The sequence below is a fragment of the Homo sapiens genome, chromosome 12, assembly GCF_000001405.40.
Source record: "Homo sapiens chromosome 12, GRCh38.p14 Primary Assembly".
Taxonomy (NCBI): Eukaryota; Metazoa; Chordata; class Mammalia; order Primates; family Hominidae; genus Homo; species Homo sapiens.
In genome coordinates, this window is record NC_000012.12 from 92,101,925 (window position 1) to 92,116,912 (window position 14,988).

A 14,988-nucleotide genomic window follows, 5' to 3' on the forward strand; every position below is an offset into this window, starting at 1 on the left:
AAGACAGAATTAGAAATTAGACCAAATTTCTGCCTTCATGGGGTATTTCTTGTATATAAAAGGTAGTTTAAAAAAACAAAACCCATACGGAACCAACGGTTATGTCGTTAATCCAAAAATAAGCCATAAACAAGTGATATATAAGCAAGATATCAGTTCAAAGAATTGGTCATTATCTCATATCAAATTCACAAAATACAACTTTGTGAAGGTTAAGTCTCTCTCCTTAGGAGACACATTAGAATGCAAATTCAAATCACCAACTCTCATCAAACAGCGAAGTAGACTCTACAAGCTCCTTGTGAATTTCATCCAGGAATTTAGAGGACACAGCAAAGGACAGGATAAATAATAGATTCCTATTCTCTAGAAAAGAGAAAGAGGACATACCGAAATGCCACTAGCAAGGCCACTTAGACATCTTGGCCCTTCATCAACACTCAGAGTATGTAATGAATTTCAGAAATATAAATAAACCTTCTTTGCCATTTTTACTTCCACAGAGATGCCAAAATTATATCATATGGAGCAGCAGAAGTGCAAGGGCTTTCCGGCCTAATCATTTTTGAAAATGAACAGATAATGAACAAAATATAATATACTACCTAAAATTATCTTCAGAAGGAATGAATAACAAAAGATTATAAAGCCTCAAAATAAAAACAGGATCTGAAAGCAAAAATAAATTAAATAATTTTGATTAATTTAAAAGCTAAACATCAAACAAGGGGAATACACAAACATCTGTATATCTGTATCTGCATATAAAATCAAGGCTAGAGGTTAAAATTTTAATGATAGGAGATTAAAACTAAAATGCCTGATTTGTGCAGCTTGCCAATGGTTTATTAAAAATCTGGTTTATTTAACTAACTGTTGCTAAAGTTTCATGGCAGAGTAAATGTGAATGAACAGCCAACAAAATGTTGACAAATAATTCAGTTCAAACTGGGGGAAGAGGGAGCTTAGTCAACTAGTTATCAACACTACTTCATGTATTTTTTTATTTTTTATTTTATTTATTTATTTTTTTGAGACGGCGTCTTGTTCTGTTGCCCAGGCTGGAGAGCAGTGGCATGATCTCAGCTCACTGCAACCTCCACCTCCCGGGTTCAAGTGATTCTCCTGCCTCAGACTCCTGAGTAGCTGAGATTGCAGGTGCCCGCCACCACACCTGGCTGATTTTCGCATTTTTAGTGGAGACAGGATTTCTCCATGCTGGCCAAGTTGGTCTCGAACTCCTGACCTCAAGTGATCTGCCCACCTCAGCCTCCCAAAGTGCTGGTATTACAGGCGTGAGCCACTGTGCCCAGTCTCAACACTACTGTAAATCTATAATAATTGAAAACAGTGCACATTAGGCAAGCAGATCACAGAAATGAAGAGTACAGACATAGACCCCAGTATGGGAATTCAGTAAATGAAAAAGTTTCATTTCAATCCAATTAAGAAAGAATTGGTTGAAGCCTACATAACTGGTATCAGAATAACGAGCAACTTATTTAGAAAAATAAAATATATTCTCCACAGAAAAGGAACATCTTGACTGCACTGATTTGGCCCCAAGACTTTTTTGCTCTAGTTTTATTAATACAATTTTTTAAAATAATAATTTACCAACACTGATGAATTTTCCATGAGAATTTTTTTGGGGATTAAATCAATTTTATTTTTTCTTAATCAATTTGCCATATAGCATAATTAAAACATTTCTAATTATCACCATTTCTAATTTTTGTTTGTTTTTCTTTTTCCCCATTTCTATTTTTATCTTATTAAAATTATTTTCATTAAGACCAAAATTTATTTTCATTTAAATCTTCTAATGGCTTGCAGCAAATTGTATTTTTTTGAACAAATCTTTCAGTTAAAACTTTTGCTGCTCTTAGGGAAAAACTAGTATTAGAAAAAAATAGAGGCTGGGTACGGTGGCTCACACCTGTAATCCCAGCACTTTGGGAGGCCAAGGAGGGCAGATCACGAGGTCAGGAGATTGAGACCATCCTGGCTAACACGGTGAAACCCCATCTCTACTAAAACATACAAAAAATTAGCCGGGCATGGTGGCGGGCGCCTGTAGTCCCAGCTACTTGGGAGGCTGAGATGGGAGAATGGCGTGAACCCAGGACATGGAGCTTGCAGTGAGCCGAGATCATGCCACTGCACTCCAGCCTGGGCAACAGAGCAAGACTCCATCCCCCCCCCGCCAAAAAAAAAAAGTAGATTTTTTTTATTTTTATAATCTTAGAGTAGAAAAAAACCTTTCTATCCATAACCCAAAGCCAAAGCCATAAAGGGAGTTTTCTTCTACTACCATTGTTTCTATGAAGTCAAATATTACAGATAAAAATTTGTCAAAAATATTTTATTCTGGATGTAACTAATTAATAATTTATTTTTACCATGTGCACTTGTAAATGTCAACTTTAATTTGTGTTGATTACAGAATAGTAAGGTCAAAAATCCTGTATCTGATTATTACCTTACAGTTTATACACAAATAAATTCCAGGTGGATTAGAAATTGTACAGTACAATAATCCTAAATAACAAAATATTCGAGACAAAATAAAAGCAGATTTTTTTCAAAATAACCTTGGAGTAGAAAAAGCCTTTCTATGCATAACCCAAAAAGCAAAAGCCATAAAGAAAGTTTAACAGCTTTACCCAACCCAGATCAGCTCTCATACTAACATTTTCCAAATTTTCCATGGTGGGGAATATTAGGGCTAAGCGTCAGGGTTTCTTGCTGTAAGAGAGGGTGGAAGTAAGGGGTTAATTAATAACAGATGTAGGTGGGACCACTGGATATTCAAAGATCTTTGGAAATATATGTGAGATTGGGATTCTTAAATTACTTTCAAATATTTTTATCATTACAAATGTAACACATAATCACAATTAAAATTCAAAATAAACCAACAAATTTAGCATAAAGTAAAAGTACTCATGACCCTAGAATCTACTTCGAGATAACTACTATTGACAATTCAATAAGTACCATTCCAGCTTTTTGGGTTTTTTGTTTTGTTGGTTTTTTGTTTGTTTGTTCAGCTTTTTTGTTTGTTTTCTTTTTTACTGAGACAGAGTCTCGCTCTGTCACCCAAGCTGTAGTGCGGTGGCATGATCTCGGCTCACTGCAAACTCCACCTCCTAGATTCAAGCAATTCTCCTGCCTCAGCCTCTCAAGTAGCTGGGATTACAGGTATACACCACTACACACAGCTAATTTTTTGTATTTTTTGTAAAGATGGGATTTCACCATGTTGGCTTGGCTGGTTTTGAACTCCTGACCTCAAATGATCCACCCGCCTTGGCCTCCCAAAGTGCTGGGATTATAGGTGTGAGCCACTGCGCCCAGCCATTGTTCAGCTTTTTACTTGTCCTTACATGCTGGACCACAAACCAGAAGTCCAGGTTTCTTTTAATGCAAATACAAAACACTCTTAGATACTTTCTCACATACACCTAATGTTTTTTAATAGGGTCTTATTAGACAGAATTGATCTATCTGGTTTCATTGATTGAAATACTATCTGCACATGTCTGGGCACTCTTCAGTAAGCAAAGGAAAGAAGCAATGTAGACACTGATTAGTAAGTAGAGATTACTGCTACACCAGTACTTTTAGAACCTTTTTTTAAACTTTCTTCTCTTTGATATAAAAGAAATACATGTTTCCCTTAGAAGACATAGAAAAGTACGAAGAGAAAAACAGTCACCCACAATCCACTACACAGAGCCACTGCTGTTAACTTTTGACGAAGAAAGATTCCATACTTAATAGATGCAGAATAGCTGTGGCCAACAATCTTGCAAAAGCTGGAGTTCAAAAAGAAGGTCCCAGCACCGTAAGATACAGTGGAGTCAGTAGAAAGTCATACGACCACACTCCCAGTAACCTCTGATAAATAGGATGAAGAGGAAGTAAAAAAGTGGTCAGCAACTTCTTTTGAGAAATATGCTGTTGAAATTAACAAAGGCAGAGAGCTAAGGGCAGAAAACCGGGCACCTGCTTGGGGATGGACAGATTCATTTCCGTTGGCTCAGACAAGCTTGCAACCTTGGGCTGCCAACCCAACACTGTGGATTGGCAGAGGGAGTCTGGAATGTGAAAATATCTTAATAAGAAGTTTTATCAGATCCCCTCCTTTCCCCTCAAATTTGCACTCAGGGTGCACAGACATCCCTGGAACATTTTAAACCTGAAGTATTTGTTTGAAGGTCTGCATAGGATTTGACTGTGGAGAGGCCAAGTACAGAAAGGAAGCTTTAGAAAGAACTTCAAAAATTCGTTCCATTTTAAACTAAAAAGAGGGGAAAGTGTAGAGGAAATGGTAGCACTGACAACGTTTTTCAGACAAAGGTGATGGAAACCTTGGGATTATGGACAGTTTCTCACCCATCTCAACTTATCCTCAGACTTCAGAAATGGTCAAAAAGGATGGTTTAAGCCAGGCAAAAAGCTCAAAGCAGGGATGGAACTTTTTCTGCAAAGGGCCAGCGAATATTTACTCTTCGGGCTGTGAAGCAACTCCTCATCTCCACAGCTGTTGCACAAAAGTGGTCGTAGAGAATGCACAAATGACTTGGGGTTCCAATAATGCTTCACCCCTGGACACTGACCTTTGCATTTCACAGAATTACCATATGCCACAAAATAGTCTTTTGATTTTTTTTCTGTCATTTAAAAATATTAAAACTCTCCTTAACTTTTGGCTGTACAAAAACGGTGGCAGCTGGGCGCAGTGGCTCATGCCTGGAATCCCAGCATTTTGGAAGACCAAGGCGGAAGGATCGCTTGAGTCCAGGAGTTCTCGAGGCCAGCCTGGGCAACAAAGTGAGACCCTGTCTCTACAGAACATCAAATGTATTAGCTGAGTGTGGTGGCCCAGACCTGTAGTCCTAGCTACTCGGAAGGCTGAAGCAGGAGGACTGCTTGAGCCTGGGAAGTCGAGGCTGCAGCGAGCCATGTTTGCACCACTGCACTCCAACCTGGGTGACAAAGGGAGACTCTAGCTCAAACATAAAATAAAATAAGAAGAAGGAAAAAAACAAAACAAAACAGGTGGCAAGCTGGATTTAGTTCACAGGCTGGCCTGTAGTTTGCTGACCTCTTGTCTAAAAGCAGAGATCCTGACCCAAGTTTATATTCTAACATAGATAAGGGCAAACTGAGAACAGGGAAGCATTTTAAACACGGAATATTTCTGGTAAAATGTGGGGGAGGAGGGGTCTAGATGGTGAACACACTTTTAGTGCCAGCAATTCAGCTGGGATTATAGTGGAGTTGTGGGGGGAGAGAGGTACAGAAGACAGGACGACTCCCCAAAGGAGTCCACACCCAAGGTGTCTCTCCATGGAGTTGGCCCGTAGCAGCAAGGGAGAGAGGGGTGAGAAAACGCCTCCCTATCCAATTATGCATGCTCTACTTTCCCAGTGAATCAGGCCAGTGAAATGATCAGCAGCAGCAAAGTCAAATTTAATTCAGACTTTTTTTTTTTTTTGCATAAGATGAGGCCCTACTTTGTTCCCAGTTCTCAGATCACCTCCACATTAGTAATTCCAGGAAGTCTTTGTTTACCTGTATATACAAGGCTCTTATGCAAATTCTAGCAGCCAGCAAAATAAGCCTGAGCTTGGCCTTGATGGATTTATTTCTCATTTGCTGCAGGCACAGACCACTTCTATTGAAAGGAGAAAAATACCAGCCCCTCCACAGCCGTTTGCCCAGGAGTCCCGGGCCTGCCTGGCAACGAGCCTGTTTGCCCCTTCTCCAGCTCGGGCCTGACATTACCTAGCCATTGAATAGTCTGATGGGAAGGGTTCAATGCAGGGTTTGCACTTTCCCAGCCATTAGCCAGCTGCAACGCATTTCATTAACTTAGGAGTGTTTTGTACATCAAAGAGAGCCCCAAACAGTGTGATCAAGTGGAAGTAACAGTGCCTGGTCAACATTATAACTTGCAGCTTTTTTTTTTTTCATGGATATAATGCCATCTGGCACCCAGGAACAGCAAAGGCCAGTGATGGAAAAACCCCACCACACTGTTTTGCTTATTGGTGTAACAGTTAATCCTGATAAAGGACAATGCCACAGAGCAACTGCCCTGTTATTATCTTGTATGTCTATTGTCTTACCCGGGCCAAGCTGCCCTGAACCGGCAAAAGCAAAGGTTGCACATGGAATTGCCTGGGGAAAAAATATCTAGGAGACCTGGGAAAAAGGATGTTTTGTCTTTTTGTTTGTTTAATTGTTTAGCATGTGCATCCACAAGCACACGCACATGCACACACATACACACACACGGGAAGAGAAAGGGACTTAAAGGCTTAATCTTTGCAGACTTTTTGGGGAAACATTAAGTAGCTGGCTTTGAAATCTACTAACTAGAAGTCTCTTATAACGTAACATCATTATCTTCTCCTACATATCCCCTGCTTTCGATTATTTTGAAAAATCCTTTATCGTCTCAGATTTTAGATTACAGACCACCAAGCATCCTCCAAATAACAGACTTCTAAACTGGTTTCTGGTGGAAAATTTCTCACTGAAACCTTCACTGCTCTTTTAAAATTAAGGAGAAAAAAATTCTGAAATGACAGGTAATAGAGATTCTGAATAAACTCTTCTGTAGTGTTTTTTTGGGTAGTTTTCAACTGACAAATTAGGAAATAAAATGCTATGAATACGTTGTTTTTATTTTGACAATCTTTAAAACATAAAAGGACAAAAGCCAAATGGATAATCATCTCCCCCATAAAAGCAGGACAAATGATTGGGTTTATGGTTTTTTTTCCCACAGTTTCAAATGTCATCTCCTCAGTACAGAGACTGTTTATAAACTCTTCAGTGACTTTTTTCTGCTCATTGCACAAACTCCTCCCCTCTTCCTATCTTCCTTACTAGCCCTCCCTTCTCCACTACCAGGCCGCCTCCTCTCTGCAGGAGGGAAAGACTGAAATTTTAAGTAAGACACTTTCTTCTCTGGTGTAAATTCGCGTCAAGGGATGATTTTGCAATTGCCATATGAGCAATTATGTAAGCTTTTCAAAAGCATACAACATTTCTAGGGCAATTGTCATCTACACACAGTTATAACAATCTAGATGGTTTTAAAAATAAGTAGCTGTCACCCAATAACCAACCTGTGGTCTGAAATTTTCCCAGAAAATCCAACTGAATCTCTCTTCTTCCACTGTTTTTCTCTTCACTGTCATAAATTGTAGTAGAATTATAACATGTGTAAGAAAATGTACTAAGTTGCTATTTTAGGTTGGCATGGAAATTGAATTCAAAGAAATAAAGCCCCTAGCAGCCAGTATTAAGAAGAAAGTTCTCCAACCTTAAGTATCCTCAATACAATGACTGTTTTCTTCACTCCTTTCCCTCCCTAAGAATCAGTGAAAAAGAGACAAAATAAGCCAGAATGGAGTGTAACTGAAATTTTTGGCAGTGTGAGAAAAAAAGAGTATATGATAGCCAGCTTTCCGACATGTGGCAATCAGATATTAAAACTTGAATTATTCATTTAAAACATGCTTAATGCTTCACATTTTACAAAATGCTGTGAATCTTGCTATAGAAATAAACATTTGCTGGAAGAAAATTTCAACGGCAGATTAAGAAGCATTAAATTGAGAAGAAACATTAAATCAACTGCTCAAAGTAACTTAATTAATGAAAGAGCATGAATTCAAATCCAGGACTGACTGACTTATTTATTTATTTATTTAGTTAGTTAGTTAGTTATTGAGACAGGGTCTCACTCTGTCACCCAGGCTGTAGTGCAGTGGCATGATCTAGGTTCACCACAGCCTCCGCCTCCCAGGCTGAAATGATTCTCCCACCTCCATCCCCCAAGTAGGTGGGACCACAGGTGCATGCCACCGTGCCTGGCTAATTTTTGTACTGTTTGTAGAGACAGGGTTTCGCCATGTTGCCCAGGCTGATCTCAAACTCCTGAGCTCAAGTGATCGGCCCACCTCAGCCTCCCAAATTGCTGAGATTACAGGCATAAGCCACTGCACTCAGCCCAGGCCTTTTAACTACTAATGTATATTACTCTTGTTATGGCATGCATTCACTCACTAAGCATTAGGTAACTGCCTACCATGGACCAGACACTGTGGCAAACATTTATAAATTTTACAAGTGTAAATAAGAAGAGATTCCTGTTCTCATGGAACTCAAAATCTAAGAGTGGAGGCAGGCATTTAAACTAAGAATTACAACAGAGAGTGAAAGGTACTAAAATAAAGGGGGTAGTAAAGGTCTTCACTCTTCCTGCTTTACATTAATGTTAAAATAATGACCCACTATTGTGTTAAGTCAAATAAGCCTTTGCCCTCAAATTATCCTAGAAAAAAATCAATTACTTGTGGCATGTTTTAAATTCCACATTAGGTCTAATTTAATCTGTTGAGTGCTTCCTCTGATTACTCTGGATTTGTTGGTGCGTAATTTTAAAGTGGGGCTCTGTGGTTTCCCCATTCTCATTGTTCAGAAGAGATGTTCACTGCAGGATTTTGCTGACATGCTAACTATTTTAGCTGAAATTTGGAAAGGAGTGGGCAAAAGGAGACTAGTTTAGATGAGAAAATTACACATAATTCCTTTCCTCTCATTTTGTGAAAATCTTAGACTCACAGTTGCTAGGGATTAGAAAGAACTTTAAGCAAACACCTGTCTTCTGCAAGGTTTTTTTTTTTTTTTTTCATTTTGGAATTTAAGTCCAAGTTTTTACTTTCTAAATTGACTATTCAGTCATCATTTCTCTGTGGAATTAATTCCAGTCTTGAGCTGTTCATTGACATCTTCCCGATAGTTGTTTCAACATCTCAAATGTTCATTCTTTTTTTACTCACAACCAGGTTAAGTGTTCCCAAGGGAAAGTTAGTGACTACCTGGAGTTAGTAACTGGCTTGAGGCAAATGTGGTAAGTGGGAGAGAAATGATCAACAAATACTATGGTGCTTACTTTGAGTCTGACTTGATAGATACAGGAGACAAATGCCCGGACTGCTTGAAATTCAGTACATCTTCCAGAATTTTTAATTCAGCACCTATCAGTTTCAAACTAAGTAAAATCAACGAGATAGAGTAATATTCTTATATGATAGAATTTGTCTTCTTTTCTCTCTAAATTAGTTTTTAAAAGGAAAACAAAACTCAAACTACAATCAGTTAGGCATAATAATTTCCTATAGATCTTCCCTATTTCTCTCTCTCTCTCTCTGTGTGCGTGTGTGTGTATTTCTTTCATCTTTGTCTGTCTCTCTAGACTACAGTGTAAAACTAGAGAAAAGAGAGGCATAAAAGAAAAATAAGCAGTTGAGTCCCATTGTACATACAAAGAACATAAAATACTCTGCCATTATTATTGGTATATTGTTTTTACTGGTTTATAAAATGTTTTCTGATATACATAATAATAACATCTGCCTCACAGAGGTATTGTGAGGACTAAATATACAAGTGAAACTAAAAGATTCTACAATAGTTCCTGGCACATAAAAAGCTGTCAATAAGTGTTAGATGGTATTACTATTATTACTCATGCTAATTATTTTTATCACTGTTATTATTGTCATAGCTTGCTAACCATATACTGAAAATAGTTCAGCAAGTCCAAGTTCATATTTAGTTGATCATAACATACTTAATTTAAAAATGAAGGATTCTATTTCTAAACCCTAAATTACTATCAATACTTATTTCACTAGTGTGGGAACATTCATACTGAATTTCTTCCACAAACTAAAAAGTACAATCATACCTTAAGTATAACTTTATTTGAAGGTTTACTATAATAGATTTGCCGTTAGTTAGGAGTGGTGGTGCATGCCTGTAGTCCCAGCTACTGAAGAGGCTGAGGTGGGAGGATGGCTTGAACCTAGGAAGTAGAGGCTGCAGTGAGCCATGAACATGCCACTGCACTGTAGCCTGGGTGACAGAGTGAGGCCCTGTCTCAAAAAAAAAAAAAAAAAGAAAAGAAAAAAAAAAGATTGGCCGTTAAAATTATTCTGAATGATTCTAAATTCCCCAGAAAAATAGTCACAACTTAATTCTGGTCTACTTCCCCAGCCTTCCTAAATGCTGCTTCCTATTTTGTACATCTGATGAACTGGACACAATGGACAATTTGTCAGTCCCCAAGCATGCCTGTACTTTCACATCATTCTACCTCTGCACTCGTGGTGTTCTTTAGCTCGACAATATCCTCTCTTGCTTCTCCTTCTAAGGTTCAGCTCCTCTCCTATCCATTGTAAAGCCTTCTTAGCCAGAAAATATCCTTCTCCCTCTTCTCTGCTTTCAAAGTTCATTCTTCATGCTATGTGCTGAGATATGTCCTTCCTCCATTTTGTTCTATCCCACTGCATGGGAATCCTTTATTCATAGGTTTGTGAGCTCCTTCGAGTGTACAACCTATGTCTTCCTGAAGAATATTCCCAGTGCCAACTATAGTGCCTTAAAGAGGCCTTTATTGTTTGCCAGATTTTAGCAAATATATTTCAAGCAGGAAAGACCAGACCCATGACAAATTACTAAGCTCCTGGTTCATAATCAAGAGTTGAGAACACAGCAAGAAAAAAAAAAAAGACTGTTTTATATTGTTCATTTGGTGACCTTAGGCTTACTGAATCAGCATTTAACATAAATAACAAAACAGTATCACTTGTAATAGTCATAATAATAATAAAAATAACCATTCATTGAGCCAGCCACTTTCTCATATTTCATGAACATCAACTTGATTTTTTTGTTTTTGTTTTTGCTTTTTTTTTTTTTTTTGAAATGGAGTTTCGCTCTTGTTGCCCAGGCTGGAGTGCAATGGCATGATCTTGGCTCACCACAACCTCTGCCTCCCAGGTTCAAGCGATTCTCATGCCTCAGCCTCCAGAGTAGCTGGGATTACAGGCATGTGCCACTATGCCTGGCTAATTTTGTATTTTTAGTAGAGACGGGGTTTCTCCATATTGGTCAGGCTGGTCTCGAACTCCTGATCTCAGGTGGTCCACCAGCCTTGGCCTCCCAAAGTGCTGGGATTACAGGCGTGAGCCACCGGGCCCGGCCATTAACTTGTTTAATCCTCACAACAACTCTATTAGTTATGTTCTTCTATTATTCCCATTTTATGGATAAAGAAACAAAGACACATAGAGGTTAAGAGTTTCTGCCCATGGAATATAGCCAGGAAGAACTGGATGCACAATGAGAGGATAAAATTTGAACCCAGGCAAATCCCCAATTAACAACCACTACACTATATGTGGCTGGTCAAGGAAAATATGATGTTTTATTGAAGACTTTAACAGTAGATAAAGGAATAGAGTTTTTCTAATCATCTAAAGGCTGTTAATAGTGTTGACAATAACAAGTTTTAAATTCTGATTTTTCACTACTACTAAAGATAGATACACCAGATTCTCATTTATTAAATTCATGACCAAATCCAGAATTTGTAGGCTTTCCCTAATCTGGATCCATCTTTCCAATTCTATGTCATCTCCCACTAGTTTCTAGCACACGGGCTACACACTCACTGGCCCACTTACCCTCTATTCTGCCCCCCCCTCCTCAATAGAGAGCCAGGCTACCTCATAAGCATTACTTATACTGTTTTCCTGCTCTCCCTCTTCTCCTCCTCCCACTAACTATTTCCTCTCCACTTTTCATAAACTTACTTTTAATAATACAGCCATCACAGCTTTCTTTTGGTTAGTTTTTGCATGATAGAATTTTCCATCTTTTTATATTCAACCTCTTCAGTATATGTTAGGTATTTTTCTTATAAACAACATACAGTTAGTTCTTGTTTGTTTTTATTTTAATCTAGTCTGACAGTATTGGTCTTTTAGTTGCATTAAGGATTTAGCCCATTTACTTTAATATAATTATTATTAATGCACTTAGGTCTATGACTTTGCTATTTGCTTTTTATCTATACTATCTGTCTATATTATTTTTTCTTTCTTTTTTTATGATTCCATTTTTTACCTTCTATTAACTTGGTAGCTATACATTATTTTATTTCATTTTATTGTTACCTTAGAGATTATTACACTCATTTGTTTTAGACACATGGCTTATTGAAGTCTAAAATAAATACCATAGAACCAGTTCCATTAATATGCTAAGCCACTTTTATATTACTTTGGTTTTTTTCTGAATTTCCTGTTCTGTTCTATTTATTTATTTTTGTACCAGTATTCCATTGTTTTTAATTACTATAGCTTTATATTATATTATGTTTTATATATACAGTCAGCAAAAGCTTCTTTCTTTCACACAGGCCCATGATGCCTGGGCTTGTCTGTTTGGTTTTTCGGGGCTAGCCTAGCATAATTAGTTTTATCATATAGACTTTAAAACCTTTGTCTTGACAGCCAGATCTACCTCCCCCAGCCAGATCTACCTCCCCAAAAAAGAAAATCATTGTGATTTTGATTAGGATTGCAATAATTTTAGAAACAAATTTAAGGAGAACACATATCTTTATAATGTTGAGCTCTTTTAGCTAGAAACATCTTAGATCTCTCAGTGAAACTGCATGTATTTTCATATAAATAGTGCATGTTTCTTAATAAATTTATTTCAGTATATTTTATATCTAATAAATGAAATAGTTCCTTTAATTATATTTTCTAATTGGTTATTTTTATATAAAAATGATTGAATTTTTTCCATTATTAATCTTGTAAAAATAATCTTACTTATTTCTGATTATTTCTGATATACTTTATGAGTTGATCCATTTGGCTTTTGAAGATATGGAATTGTATGGTTTTCCAGCAGTGAGAAATGTGCTAACTTCTTTCCAATATTTATAGTACTTACTCTGTTCCTTCGAATAATAGCACATTAACTTGAGTGGGAATGAATCTCAAGCTTCAATTTTAGGCTTCAGCCTTAATTTACATAAACTAACCATTTATCATAATACCGATCCCCTCACCAAAGTGATTGGTTCAAGGATAAGTAGCACAGACCCAGACTCAGTGTGGTATGGCATGCCATCATAGTGATTTGTTGGGGGATTAGACATAAGATTCAAGAGCTTTCAAGGTTTTCAGAAGAGGAGCTCTTTCTTCTGCTGGACTGTAAGGTGTAAACACATGAAAGGCCTGGAATCAAACCTCTGTGGCCATTTTGCTGCCACGAGAGAAGCTGCACAACACACCAGGAAATGAAAGCTGAAATAATAGAGAGAAATCAAGTCACAACACACAAACCATGCCTGGACTAGATCTGTCCTAGAACTTTATAAAAGCAAACATATCTCACTTCATTTTTTAAACCCTTGTGCATTATTTGCAACCCAAATTATCCTAATGGATACACCAGCTTATTACTATATTCAAGAAACATGCCTAAAACCAAATGACAAAGGAAGTTTTAAAATAAAGGCACATGGAAAATTACACCACGTAAATATATGCAAACAGAAAGCAGAAATGTCAAAATCAAAATCAGATAAGAATTCAAGATCAATATCATTAAGCAGGAAAAAGAGGCATATTATGAAATCTAAAAATATAATTCATGAATTCTTGTAGACCAAAATCTACAGCAGTAAAATACATGAAACAAAACTGTAACAAAGACACGTATAACCTTTAAAAAAATCACAGTCATGATGGGGAATTTTATATCAGAATTTAAGTTTTTTAATTTGTCTTAATTATTGTTTTATTAAAACTTAATTCCTTTTATGGAGACGGGGTCTCACTATGTTGCCCAAGCTGGTCTTAAACTCCTGAGCTCAAGCAGTCCTCTCCTCTTGGCCTCCCAAAGTGCTAGGATTATAAGTGTGAGTCATTGCACCCAGCCTGGGAATTTTATATCACAATTTAGTAAGTCAAATAGATAAAAATAAATAAGGATATAGAGAACATAAGTAATACAATGTAAAGAAAAAGGGAAAAAATTCTACTTTTCCTCATCAAATTTCCACCCACTGCCTCTTTCTCATATGAACATGATGTTTCTCCTATCATTAAAAAAATGAAAAACTCTCCTAACTCCATCTCATTTTCAGCTACCATCTATTTCTTTTTATCTCTTTAGAGCAGAATTGTCCACACTCCCTACCCCAAATTCTTTCATTCTCACATGAACTAACTCCAAGCAGGCTTCTTCTGCCATCATTGGCAGAAACTGCTCTTGTCTCTATCACTAACGACCGTATGTTGCTACACCTGAGCACTTCTCCAGCCTTACCCTACTTGACCTATTAGCATCACTTAATACATTCATTGATCATCCCTCCTCTTGGAAACCCTTTCCCCACTTGACTTGCAGCATATACTTTGTTCAGGGATATATCCAAGATCCCTGTGACCTAAAATTTTCATAGTTTGAGAGTGGAAAGCACATCTTAAGGAACATATAAAACTATGTTTTTAAAACTAGGCTGAAAAATGTGTAATGAGTATTTATTTAGAATGACAAAAGACATCTCAAAAATTATAAATTTTAAAAAGTTGGCAAAATCACAAACATCACAAAATCAAAAGAAGCATTGCTGTTAGGCATTAATTCAGTGCCTAACATACCTTATTTAGTGCATTTTTTGACTACATCTTTGATTGTCTGTTTAACAACCATTTTGTTATATAAGTTTCTACAGAGACAAAAGGAATGTACGTCAGTCTGTCCTTTAGTATGATTGATGAAAATTTGCTATTCCTGCTGCTTGAAGTGCTAGTTCCTCAATCTTAACTAAAAAGTCAATTTCTCAGACAGAGCTTCTCTGACCCAACCTAAATTTGAAATCACCTATCAGTATTTTCTATTCTACCTCTCAGTATTCTCACTTGCTGTTCCATCTGCCTGCAATTCCCTTTCTCTAGACACCTTCACAACTCATTTTCTTACTTCCTTTAGGTCTTTACCCAAATGTCCGTAAGACCTTCCCTGACGATCTCATTTAAAATTACAACTAATCACCTCTCCCCCTACAGTATTACAACACTCCCATCTTCC

The 14,988-nt window shown here is 37.2% G+C and overlaps 1 long non-coding RNA gene across 5 annotated transcripts in view, besides 1 other annotated feature; it reads right to left on the reverse strand.

Moving 5' to 3' along the window:
• The window catches only part of LINC01619 (long intergenic non-protein coding RNA 1619), a 157,856-nt gene that overhangs the window by 116,949 nt on the left and 25,919 nt on the right, over nt 1-14,988 (reverse strand). The window lies entirely within an intron of this gene.
• Nucleotides 5,786-6,324: an enhancer, noted in NCBI's record as "NANOG-H3K27ac-H3K4me1 hESC enhancer chr12:92501486-92502024 (GRCh37/hg19 assembly coordinates)". NCBI's record gives its function as "activates a minimal SCP1, AML or CMV promoter by ChIP-STARR-seq in primed H9 embryonic stem cells {active_cell/tissue: H9 hESC(primed)}" and the evidence as "EXISTENCE:reporter gene assay evidence [ECO:0000049][PMID:30033119]".